The 12,914-nt window shown below is 45.3% G+C and overlaps 2 long non-coding RNA genes across 2 annotated transcripts, besides 3 other annotated features; both read left to right on the top strand.

Annotated features, from left to right (window-relative positions):
* The first annotated feature begins 1,073 nt into the window (after positions 1-1,073).
* Positions 1,074-8,946, top strand: LOC124900696 (uncharacterized). The gene is made up of 2 exons (XR_007058105.1): positions 1,074-1,124; positions 8,312-8,946. It is a non-coding gene; the product is annotated as an uncharacterized LOC124900696 (long non-coding RNA).
* Positions 9,088-9,137: a silencer, noted in NCBI's record as "silent region_15389". NCBI's record gives its function as "represses an Ori minimal core promoter by ATAC-STARR-seq in GM12878 lymphoblastoid cells {active_cell/tissue: GM12878}" and the evidence as "EXISTENCE:reporter gene assay evidence [ECO:0000049][PMID:35858748]".
* On the top strand, positions 9,395-12,485 carry LINC00682 (long intergenic non-protein coding RNA 682). Its single transcript, NR_104143.1, has 2 exons — positions 9,395-9,526; positions 11,193-12,485. It is a non-coding gene; the product is annotated as a long intergenic non-protein coding RNA 682 (long non-coding RNA).
* Positions 9,941-10,692: an enhancer, noted in NCBI's record as "H3K27ac-H3K4me1 hESC enhancer chr4:41883331-41884082 (GRCh37/hg19 assembly coordinates)". NCBI's record gives its function as "activates a minimal SCP1, AML or CMV promoter by ChIP-STARR-seq in primed H9 embryonic stem cells {active_cell/tissue: H9 hESC(primed)}" and the evidence as "EXISTENCE:reporter gene assay evidence [ECO:0000049][PMID:30033119]".
* Positions 11,445-12,197: an enhancer, noted in NCBI's record as "H3K4me1 hESC enhancer chr4:41881826-41882578 (GRCh37/hg19 assembly coordinates)". NCBI's record gives its function as "activates a minimal SCP1, AML or CMV promoter by ChIP-STARR-seq in primed H9 embryonic stem cells {active_cell/tissue: H9 hESC(primed)}" and the evidence as "EXISTENCE:reporter gene assay evidence [ECO:0000049][PMID:30033119]".
* Positions 12,486-12,914: the final 429 nt, after the last annotated feature.

Genomic DNA, 12,914 nt, shown 5'->3' with positions numbered 1-12,914 from the left:
GATGCGGGCTTCTGGGCCCCACTCTAGATATAATAAAATGATCTCTGAGGGAAATCTGAGAATCTGAATCTTTTATAAACACCTATCCAAGCAATTCTTACACCATTAAAATTCAAAAAGCACACGCTTAGAGCCTTTGAGGTCTCTGCTGAGACTTAAATATCATTTGATGAGCTTGCAATACAGTTAATGGATAATAGCGTGAGTGGTGATAGCCTCAATCCTTATCTTGCCATAAAATATTCCATGATTTCTACTTTGGTTTCTTACCTGAATCTTGCAGGAATCTTAGGGTTTGCATAAATATTCTTAGAATCCACTGACAATCTGGTCCAATCTTTGTGCTTTTTATTGATATTTGGTAAATACTATTGGTCCACATGTAATATAACCAGACCAATGTTATTTTCACAATTTGTACACACAATGGACTATTAAGTACTTTCTTCTTCAATATAGCAAGTACAGAATCAGCCAAATGAAGTAAATTTCCAGTCAAAACCTACGGTTATTTACTTGGAAATATCACCCCCGCCAACCCCCACCTTGCCCAAAAAAATGCTGAATTAAGATTACTTCCATGGTAACATAAGAGCATCTCACAGAGAAAGGAAAATAAATTCATGATATTGCTAGAATGAATACCATCCTTGACTAAGTGACTGTTCACTGAGAACAATTGCCATTTGGGGGTCTTTTTCTCCCTGGATAAGGTTGTAGTCTCTCTAGCACGGGCACCACTGAGCTACAATTGTATGTATAATTGTGTGGTATCTTAAAGGCATTTTCTGTGTAGTGTTTATCAGAAAACAGCAGAAGTATACCAGAACCAAAAATACTTTTCTTCACATTGTCAAGAGGACTTTCATGCTTTTCATCCATTCTTCAGAAAATGAAAAGCTAATGCCATGTAATCACAATTTCCTGGGATTCTGAAAAACCGTTAAAGAGGCACATTGATGGCCTCTGAATAGAAACACTGTAGCGCGTTTTGGATTGGCTCTGTTCTGGGGGTTCTTGACACTCATATGCTCAAATCAGAGTGGTCAAAGGTTTCTTTTGTGTCCAAAACACCCAGACGGTCTGATTTCAACCATGCATGTGCTTCTGGGTGAATGCAGATGGTAAGTTTTCTTTTTCTTTTTTTAGTGGGGAAAAAAAAAGAAACTTAATTAAAGCCCATGTTAATTATGTTGATAGTTGAAGCTTGATAATTATGAGAATTTCGTTTTGTAGGTATCTAAAATAGGGTGCTTTAAAGTTGTATTGTCAGATGAAGTGTTTTTCTTTCTGTGGTCTAGATTTATTAAAACCAACCAAACACCACATAAAGTTAGCTTTATTAGAAGCAGGAATAAACAGGAAGATTTCTGGCCATGTTAATATTTAATTTTAAGACAAAGTAGCACACCTGTGTTACTAAACACATTAGGCTGTATTTTAAAACCATGTTATGTTTCTTGAACCACTGGCACATCTTCCTCCTTCTCATATCTTCAAAAACATTGCTGCAGTGTGTGCTTGTATGTACTATCCTGAAGCAGTTTCCAAGAGCTGCATTGATTCCCAGGAAAATGGTTGTACAGAAACAAAACTGGCTCATGGTGTATTCCCAGGTACATTCAACAGCCAACTTAACGTATTACTACTTACTGTGTGCTGACCAGTGTGCCACAGAAACCCACACAGTGTCAGCCATAGTGATTAAACAAAGTGGCATGGGCAATGTCAACAGTCCATGTTTCTGTGTAACAGGACATCTGATTTTGGTTCTCCAAATAGGAAGTGGCTCTTCCTATCAAAAGGGAGCGTTTGCCTCTTGCAAAGATGATGAATTAACCTTGGCAGTCAGATGGGAGAGTCAGAGAGCTGCAGCCCCAGCAAGCCAGGCTCTGGATGAGTAAGGAAGTCCATAAGGACTTGAAACTAGAAGCAAGTATCTCAACTGCTAGGGACAAGAACAGCATGGATCACCCAGAAAAGGAGCACTGCAGGGCTGGGCATGCTCCCCGGCCACCTTTGAGAGGGTAAACTCACAGGATATTCAAGTTTGTTGTAAAGGTCTCATCTTAGATTATGAGTTCAGTTTTCAATAAAATTTTTTGTGCCTGTCTTAGTCTGTTTTGTGTTGCTATAACAGGATACCTGAGGATGAATAATTTATAAAGAAAAGAGGTTTATTTGATTCATGATTCTTGTGGCTGGAAGGTTCAAAATTGGGCAGCTGTATCTGGTGAGGGTCTCAAGCTGCTTCAACTCATTGTGGCAAGTGGAAGGGGAGCAGGTATGTGTGCAAAGAGACTGCATGGCAAGAGAGGAAGCAAGAGAGAGAAACAGAGGAAGTCATATGCTTTTTAACAATCCACTGTTGGGGAAACTAATCCATTCCCTGAAGGACTCACTCACCTCCTCAGGGGAGAGTATTAATCTATGTATGAGAGATCTGCCCCTATGACCTAAATACCTCCCACTAGGCCCCACCTCCCAACACTGCGAAATTGGGGATCAAATTTCAACATGAGTTTTGGCAGGGACAGACCATATCCAAACCATAGCAGTGACCTGCATTAAGTCCAGTGTCAAAGAAACCCTTTAACATGTTATATGCAGAAATGCAGATGTGGTTCATCTGGCATGAACAAGAAACTTTTTCTCAAAAGAATGAAAACAGATACATAGTCTTCTTTACTGAGTTGGGTAAAGCTTGCTTTGGTCAGGATATGCCACATATGAGTCTAACATGTGTGAAGAATCTTATATATTATCCTGAACGAAACAGTTAAATAATCATATTTTGGTTGTGTAGGATCCACCATGATTTTGTAAGAAAGAAATGAATAAAAATAAACTGAGAGCTGAGGTTTTCTGGGAAAAAAAAAGGCTTTGAATGATCCAAGTTCATAGATAAGAGATATTTACTGCACCTTTAATACGTGCAATGCTCTGATAGGTGTCACAGTGATAAGGGTAGTGGAAGGTGTGGAAAGGGAAAGGGGTTGGGTCTGACATAGGGTTAATTCTAATCCCCTACAACTTCTACACTGGTGAACAGCAATGCTCAGAAGAGAGATCCTGTGACATCCTAAAATGTTCTGTAACTCATAAGCAAGGCCATTTATCATAGGGTTGAAGTGCATGCTCTCTGGAAACTCATGACCTGGGTTTAAATTCCAGCTCTATCATTTTCTAGCTGTGTGACAGTTCTCAGCTGCCTCATCTTCACAAGAGCAATAGTAACCATACCTATTCATAGAAAAGGGGAAATTAAATGAACTTAAGTACCTGATGTACTTAGTATTATGTAAGTGTTCACTATTATTGTCAAGTACTACTGAAATTGACATTCAGCAGTCCATGTATTCCATTACACACTGTGTACTAATTCTTTGCAAATGATTAGCCTATGTAAGTTATATCAGCGACTGTAAGATAACCGAATTAGAATTCACAATTCCCCAGCCATTCTAGAAAAATGGAAATTTGCTGTACAAAGATTATGGCCCTGTCCTCATAATTGAGGGTATTCCAAGAATATCTGGAGGAATCTTAGAGTTCTGTTTTTTTATTGAATTTGACATATTATGAATTCAATTCTTATTGTTCATGGAATATAATTCATATTAATTGAAGAAAAATAATTCAGACTATGGCCTGAAATTACAAAAGCATGCTAACTTTCATGTGAGCTGACAGTTCTTGTCCACCAGGGGGCAGTCCACTCATTGAAACCAAGGACAGAAATAACTAGAATAAATAAAACCTGTAACTTAAAAATAAAACGCATTTTAAATAAGTTTCAGTTTCAATAAAACTTTTATAGAGATACAATGACATAGAAGAACCAGTCCTTGTTCCTGCCTTCTGGTAGACAGACAATCAAGAGACAGAATAAAGCAAAAGGTAGTACTAATCTACAATCCAGTCTCAGGGCCATCTAGATAAATGAGGGGCCTGGGGGCACTCTATGAAGTGAACTGAACCAAGGCCAAATTCACTGTACAGAACAGGATTTAAATGCAAGAGAACTAGTGACAATCAGAGGGAGTATTAAGTCTTCAATTACATAGATGTTCATCAAAGGGCATTTTATAATGCCTGCCTCCTCTAAAATGTGGTGAAAGCAGCAGTAGCTGTAATAGCAGAACTATGAGCTTCTCAGTTAAGAAATGCATCCCCAAGTTCAGGACTACTGGTCCTTATCTTGGCAAATCTAAAGGACTTCACATCCGAATAAATAAATGACTGTTTCATATGCCAAGAAATGACATTTAGCCTTAAAATAGATACATCCCACTGCCAGAATACAGAAACCATACTTCATGATAGAATAAAATCAAACATTTTAAACTCTGAGCTTTCTTTGCATCTTGGTGAAGCCGATTTGGTGGATTAGATTTTTCCTAGCAAGGAACTAAGGAACAGTTGAGTTCAAACATACTATTACATAATCTGCAATTATCCAGGAACCAGTGGAGTATAGTAGAAAGATCAATGACCTTGGTGTTAAAAGAGCCAGTCATAAATCTTAGTGTCTCTACTTTTCATTTATATACCCTTGGGCAATATATATGTAAGGGAGTTTTGCAAAACTATGTGGAGCACGATATCATACATTCACAAGGTTTTATTAATTACAAAGGACTTTTCAACACAGTGTTTCCTCATAAGATCTTCCTTAGATGGAATTTTGCAAGGGTTAAATGAGATAATTCACATAAAGCACTTGGAGGGTGCCTGAGAATCAGAATAAGAATGCAATGAATGGCAGTTATTATTAATAGTAGTAGTATTAGTTTGACCCTCATGCCAATCCCGTGTGCTAGAGATTGTCATCTCCACATTGCGAGATTTTAAACAACTGCAGCCCAAGAGAAATAAAGTGACTGGTCTAAAGTCACAAAACAGGAATATTAGAGCCTGGACTGAAGCTCATGCATGTTTTCCCTTTTCCAGCATACATTCAGGACACTATTTACAATGAGCTTGAGCAGTATCACAAGGAAGAGGGTTTTTTCCCTTTGAAGTGAAAGCCCAAGTGGATGCCCCACCATTGACTTTCCCACTCTTCTGGTCCTGGCCTCGTAGAGTCCCTGACCCCAAGAGCTCCTTCAATGCATCAGTATAGAACAGAGGCTCTTAACCTTCATTGCACATAAGAATGCTCTGGCGAGTTTTTAAAAGTACTGAGTCTCAGACCCCAAAGCAGTCTAATGAAATCGGAATGTTCTGTAGGACATTTCTTCCTCGTCCACTCTAGCCACAGTTACTATGCCTGAATCTGGAACTCAAAGTCATTTCCCCCAACTCCAAACACAGCACCCTTTCTGCTGCCACACGTGAACACTGTCAGCCCCAAGAAGGGAGCCACCAATTACAGAAAAACAAGACTTTAAAAAATGGAAGATGTCAAAGAGATGGATTGCCAGGAAAATATAAGGGGTTTAGGGGACAAGGTGCCTGAGGAGGGGTCAATCTAAAGAGAATGAATAGACATGCAGGTATTGGCTCACTTTTCCAGACATGGGGGATGCATGTAGCATGAATCATCCCCCTAAACTGGATACAAAAAAAAAAAGAACTAGTATACTGGTTGACTGCATCGTGTCTTTGTGGAAATAGGGCAGAATCAATCGGCATTGGCCAGGCTCAGTGGCTCACGCCTGTAATCCCAACACTTTGGGAGGCCGAGGCAGGCAGATCACCTGAGGCCAGGAGTTCAAGACCAGCTTGGCCAACATGGTGAAACCCATCTCTACTAAAAATACAAAAATTAGCTGGGTGTGGTGGTGAGTGCCTGTAATCCCAGCTACTCGGGAGACTGAGGCAGGAGAGTACTTGAACCTGGAGGCAGAGGTTGCAGTGAGCCAAGATCACACCACTGTATCCCAGCCTGGGTGAAAGAGTGAGACTCCATCTCAAAAAAAGAAAAAAAAAAAAGAATCAATTGGCATTCCAGGCAACTCTCAAATGAAACTTCCTTGATAGTGATTGCTATTGAACACAGATGTGTGCTTCTGAGGCGGAGAAGGGGTGGTAAATTTTTTGTACTTCATAAGAGTATAACAGAGTAATCAATCTGAATGTGAATGTCTAGTAGAATCCATTAACCAACATATTTTTACTAGTCAAGCTAATGGATATCCTTCTTAGCTCCAAACTCACCTTTGAGAAAATGCATGCCACTGAGGTCAAGTAATCCTGATAAATTGAGATCAGATTCATTGTCTAGATAACCATAAAATATGGAGATCTCTTCTCATGATCTTCCAATGACAGTCTACCAAGCCCTCTCCTTATCCCCCATCCCCAAATGCAGCAGGCACTGTTTCTTGCTGGCAGTGGGATCAGAACCACTGTCAAGAGATCAGAGGATTAGAGTGGCAAGCTCTGGTCAGAACAGTGAAGTTTTCCAGATGTCCAGGCTGCGAATGCTGGCAGGATTCTCACTTCTTTTCAGGGCTGATATTGGAGGTGGAATCCTCCTCCTTAATGTAATTTCTCCCCCAGATCTGGCAGCAAGTTCTCAAGTTTTGTCTCAAGTGGGAGAAGTCCAAGTTATGTCACTGTTCAAAAAATATTTATTTCTTCCCAAAACCCAACAAGAAAACTCTACTCTGTCGCCTCATAGGTATGTTTCCTTGCCCTGTGCCAGGCCTCAAATGTGTGGGCCCTTTTTCAGGTTGTAGTGCAGCTCCTGCTCGGCTTCTGGGGTCTGTAAGTTACTCTGTCTTGGGTTAGCCATTGCCTTTTTATGCAGAGTGCTGCCTTGTATGCGATCAGCTAGAAAAATCTTAAAAAAAAAAAAAAGGTTGGAGGGGGCATAGCATTCTCACTTCAGAGGGATAAAGACGAGAAGAACAAAAGTTTTAGGCAGATGACAATGGATCCTGTCAATTAGACTAGGTGAAGTTAAAGCAAATGAATGCTTTACTGAGGAAGATGGAACATGGGGAGGGAAAGAAAACGAGGCTGGAGGAATCCAACTACAATGGGAGTGACACTGATTATCCGAAGAGACCTTTAAGAGCACGTGCGCCAGTCCCAGCAATGCCCTGATAAAGAGCTACAATACAAAAGCCTGCGCCTTGCTCACCCAAGGATCACAAATAACCAGAATTCCCAGGAAAAACTCATGTTTCAATCTAGCAGGAGCCCAACTAAATACAACCAAATGCCAAGCTGGGCACTCTTCTGGGGGAAATCAAAGGGATGGGAACATGAGTGGCAAGAGGAACTCAGGGTCCCTTTTTAATGTCTCAATAGAAGAAAGGAAAAAATAGGCAGACCTAAGACACACCCTTGTTTTAAAATTTTTATCACAAAGGGCAGGATGGGATATGTCCATTCAGGGAGCATCACTTTGCTCCACTGGTTTCACCAGCAGGGGCTGCTTGTGTGTGCAAGGAGGGGCCTGAGATATATGGCTGTGCAGATCACATCATTTGTAGTGATTTATTGGTTAAGAAATAAAGCATGATGGGTGGGTGTGGCTACCATAGGGTAATCACACCCCCAGGGTGAGACTATACTACACACTACCAAATTCCCCCCAGGGGTGTGATTAGCTCATAAAACCCTGCCTCCCAGAACTGCCAGACTCTTTAATGTCATTTATTTATTAAAAAAGAGTGGGCCAGTTGAATCTGTTCCATACAGTGTGACTGTCACTGAGGCTGGTCTTTCTGTAAAACAAGAGAAACAAATAAATCCGAAGCCCAAGGATCTGCTATCTGCTAGTGCTTCCTGTTGAATTTTGAAATTCAGCCCGTGGAGACCAAAATAGCACAAAATCGACCTTACCAGTCCTTGTGGACTTTTGTGCTCAAGGCCAATAGCCATTCGGACTGGCCAGCAGAAAACTAGGAGATTTTATTGATTTCATGGTCTTTCACTTGCATAACATTATGTAGCCTTGGGGAGACGCAAACTAATAAAACATTTCAGGGCTGGTAATTTTTCATTTTTTGTGCTTATTTGTAAGACTGGCTTGAAGGATTTAAAGAATGATGAACTACAATAATGAAACTGGGTAAACTGAATAAAAGGCCCTTGGTCTGAACTCGTCATTCATTCAAAAGAGATTGCTATGGTTTATAACTGTAGCAGTGTTATATACAAGTATGGGACAGGGACTTAAGCTCTTCTAAAATAATTTTTATTATAGGCAGTTCTGTAGCCTCTATTTATTTGATTTTTTTTTTTTACCTTTAACACCTCAAATAATCTCTTTTGGGTCTCTTATTCTATTTTGCCCCTTTAAGGGATTATAAATATCCTTCTCCCTAATTGCTCTTTCTCCACCGTCCCACAGCTGTTTGCTTCATGTGAATAGGAGCAAAGCCCAAGGAGAGGACACCTTCACCCTCCAACCCTTCTGAGTAAAACGGAGATCCTATCCCTAAAGCAAGGCTCCAAGTCAATGGGCCTGTGCACAATAGAAGAACATCTGGCCTCGGGGACACGTTTACCTCTAGGCAAAGAGCAGGAGCGCAGTATTGAGTATTGTTGTAAACAATACCATTTGGAAACCTGGTTCCGCTCCTGTGAGTCCAGCAAACGCCTCAAAGACGCCCTTTTAGGATTTCTTTAAATTAATCTGAGACAACGTGGGAATACTCTCTATATAGTATCTAGCCTACTGGATATGTGGTTTTTGTTGTTGTTGTTGTTTGTTTTATTTTTATTTTTGGCACGGCACTGAAGTCTGTGTAAATAAAAGGCCCAGATAAACTCGGCGATGGGCCTTTCTGTCAAAACCAGGCTGGCTTTACATGGCAAAACCAGGGCCTTACGTGTTTGGACACCTGACTTTCCATGTCGCCCGTAAAATCGCTGGTAGGGAAACATTTTAATTTAGTAGGCACCTTATTTTTACCGAGATGCTTAAGGCTGTCACGAGCTACTACTCTTGATGGTAGTAGGAAATAAACACGAGCGATGAAAACAGCCAAAGGATGTCTAGAGGAAGCAGAGAGGCGGACGAGCCATGCGTGTTACCATTCATTTAACCACACCGGGAGGGCCCGGCCTGCTCCCCGCGCGCTCCAGCAGAGGGCGCGCGCCGCCCCGCGCTCCCTCCCTCCCCGGTAATTGATGGAGGCTGCCGAAAAAAGATAATTAGTTTTATGTATATAATATTTGATCATGAAAATATTCTTTGCCTTATTTTGGTATAGGAGATCTGTAATATATGTTAAAATAGTTAATTTTTTATTATCTCTTTGTTTGGCGGCAGCCCGGCCTATCCGAAATTACCGGAGCATCAACTGAAAATGTAGGCAATGTAAGCAATGTTAAATCTAATTTTTCTGTCCAAAACCTAATTAGCCATTTTAAAAAAGGTTAACGCCAGCGCCTGAGACGGTTTTTGTTTAATAATCCTATTACTGACGGCTCATCATGTATAAAATGGTGCAGTAGGATGCAAAATTTCCACTTGTTTATAAGTGTATCGCCGAGAAATGTATAAAATAATCGAGACCGGCGGAGGCAGGTCAGAGCCGTCTGGAATGCGCGCACCTTCAACGTAAGTAGCCGGCGCGGCCGCTCAGGGTTCGAGCCCCCACCTTGGCCGGGCAGGGGACACCTTGGCCGGGCACCTCCCGGGCTTCCGACAAAAAGGCCTCGGACTTTATTTGGGCCCGCGTTGGATTTCTGGCGGAATCGCCCTCGGGGTCGTTTGGGTTTGGAGGCTTCCGCCTTGCAGGGGGTTTCACAGGGTTGCAGCCTCGCTCGGGCCCAGGCCAGTGCGGATACTCGGGCCAGGGCAGCTTCGGGTTCAAGGAGGGTCGGCTTCTGAGCCGCTGCGACCGCCGCCCCCGCCCTGCACTGCACCCGCCTCCGGGGGTGGGGGAGGGGTACTTGCCGCGGAACGGGGTCTCCGAGGACCCTGGCCCGGAGAACGGAGGGAGAAGAAGGGACAGCAGTGAGGGCCGTGCAGGGCCACCCCTAAATGCCCCTCGACCGGCTCGCGTCCTGCCAAGGGCAATGTGCAGAAGCCCTGGGCGCGGGTGGAGTGGGACAGTTCTGGAAAATTCTGGCCCTTCTGGGGGTCTGGGATAGTTGGGAAAGGGAGAAAATGGGGCAGGGCGCCCAGGGGGCGGGGGCGGGCGCTGGGCTCGGTGGGGTCTCCGGGGAGCAGCCGTTACTCCTGGCGCCCCCCGTCCGCCTTTAGCGATGGTTTGGGAACCCGGGCGCTGGAAAGGCGCGGGTGCGGAGGGCGGCTGAGCCGCGCGGCTGCGGCACCGTGGGCGCGAGACCCCTGCGGAGAGGAGCGCGCGGACGCCGGGGGAAGCGCCTCGGGGCGGCTGGAGGCGCAGCACCCTGGGGGAGCCGGGGCGCGGGAGAGACAAAACTGTTCGAACCTTCTCTCCCTTCCCCACCCCCAGCGCCCAAACCCGGGGCGGGTGAGCGCGACCCTTGCAGCGACCCCTTGCCGAGCCCTGCCCGCGCGATTACTAAGGAGACGCGGCCTCCGGCACTGCCGTCCCCGCGCCGTTTGAAAACGGATCCATCAGCGGGTACCGGGCGTTTAAAGGGATCTTTCTGAAGGGACTTGTGGGAAAGGACAAAAGCAGGCGGCCCCATTCAGCTGACCAGTCAAAGGCGCTAAATGGGGACATCAAAAGGCGCCCTAACTGGGAATACGGATCCAATCGCAAGAGAAAAGAACCTGGTTTCTTTTCTTGGCCTCAACAAGGCTGAAAAGCCGTAAAGCAAATAGGCAAAGAATGCGGAGAGGGGCAGAAAGGAAAAATAAAGAAACAATCTCATGAATGCATTTTTCTGAGGCTTTAAATGAGAGGAGTGACAACTTCCTAGGCGCCGTTGGGGGCCGGGGTGCGGGGTCCGCCGCTGCGCGGACCCCCTCACCGAGGGAACCTCTCCCGCTCGGGCGCCCTTGCTGTTTCCACGCGCTCCTAGGCAAGGTTCTTTTTGTGGGTGTAATCTTTGTTCTTATTTAAATGCCTAGGAAGGGAAGGGAAGGGAATGGAGGATAAGGTAGAGAAGGGAAGGAAAGGGAAGGGAGATGGGAATGGAATGGGAAAGTAGGAAAAGCGGGACGCGGCGCGAAGCCCAGGTTTCCCATCAGCTTTTCTGCGGTCAGATTACGCTCACTAACACCCGAGCTTGTTATCTGACCTGGCCATCCCCGTCACATTCTTTCTACAAGTTATCTTTTCTCCAACCAGGGTATTTGGAGATTATTCGCACTGAATTTTCTGCCCGCCAAGAACGAATAGGATTGCCAAGCCACACCACTTTTTGGAGCCCGCTTATTCGCGCCTATCCACCCTCTCCTGTGCCCCAGGTTCCCTGAGCACGGGAATCCTTTCCGGGCATGGCCAAGTTTGTTCGGTGGCTCAGAGCGGGAAGGGAAGTGCAGTTCGACACCTGTCCAGCTGCTCCGCTTGGAGATCAAAGGCCGGCTATGGGCTGAGCGACAGATTTACGGGACGGTGGTACAGATTAAGGCGAGAACCCTGCCGGTCCTGGACTCGAGTTCGCACCCAAGGAAAGCGTACAGGTCCCTGGAAGCGGGTGGATGTCGGAGAGGCCGAGGCAGCCTGCGCTGTGGCCAGGCAGGCTTGGTGGGCTTTAGTCTCAGTATGTGTTCTTTAAAGTCTTGACAGGTTATTAGTAAAGGAAGGGGCACCCCAGGGTCATGAAGATGCTTCTCGCTCTGGCCCAAGCATGCTGAGGCTCGCTTATTCCTCGGCCAGGCCCAGTAAAACAGCTCAAGCACAGCCTGGAGTCTTCCCGCATCTGCGCGGGAGTAGAGTCTGGCTTTGGGCCCCGCGTACCCCGCAGTCGTCGGGGACCAGTTCGAGGCCACGGGAAGGGTTTCCGCGGCAGGGCGCGGAGTAAAGAGGGGAAGAAGGAATCCTCTCCGCGTGATCAGTAGGGCGGGCTTGTGATACTCTCACACCCAGGTTCCAGCTCAGCCCCCAAACTGCTGCCCCAAGAAAACAAGTTGGGGAGTGTGGATTTAGACATAACAACGGGTGTGAGCTGATGTCCTTACAACCAAAAATATTGAGACTAGAAATTCAGCTCCGAATCCACGACCCTCAGATTGATGCTTAATCGCACCCTCGACTCCAGAAAAGCTGCCGGGGACAGACATGGACAGGTTTTGCCAAGGGTTCATTAAAATAGTCTGCACTGGAATAACCGGGGTGCAAGAGATCACGTCTTCACTCAGGGCTTTGGGGATCCCCTCGTCGCCCCAGGTCAGTGGGTGGGGAGGAGGGCAAACTTCTGTCTTTTGTTTGTGGGTGAGGGATGCGAATTGTGGCAGCAGCCGAGAAAAGGGGGGAAATTAATTGCAGCCAATTAATAATTAATCCCCTTTAAACAGCTTTATTATCTCTTCTGGGCGACAGAGATTTGTCTGATAACCCCCTGAAGACCAAATGTCAAGTTTAACCAAATAGTTATTGCTTTATCAACCCGAGTCTGCAAATAAATTAATCAAAAGCAAATCTGTCCTTTGTGCGGCTCATTTGCTGGTAATGGATGGATATGAAGATTTGCCGATATTATTGTCTGTCATTCAATCTAACAAAGTGAACATTTATTGCATATATATTAAAAATTATCCCGGAATCGAGTGGCGCCGGGTTGCATTTATTGGAGTCTTCCCAGGGGTGAGGTCCCCTCGGATGGGGGCGCGTGGGATAGAAAGTGCAGGAGCGCGAGTCTCAAATCTCTTTAGGACTCTGTGCCTGCCTCTGTCCCCCTCCCCGCAGCGACCTCCCTCTATCCCCTTCCCTAGCCTTCGCCCCGGAGCCGCAGGACGTGCCTGCAGCCTCCTGTCGCGCGGCCAGGGCCAGCGGGGCGCGGGGAGCCCAGCTACTGTCAAAACAGAGTCCTTCAGCCTTAAGCACTCACAAGGGGTCCGGCCCTAGGAA

This window comes from Homo sapiens, chromosome 4 (genome assembly GCF_000001405.40).
Source record: "Homo sapiens chromosome 4, GRCh38.p14 Primary Assembly".
Taxonomy (NCBI): Eukaryota; Metazoa; Chordata; class Mammalia; order Primates; family Hominidae; genus Homo; species Homo sapiens.
The sequence above is the reverse complement of the archived record's forward strand: the minus strand, read 5'-3'. Positions and strand labels throughout refer to the sequence as shown.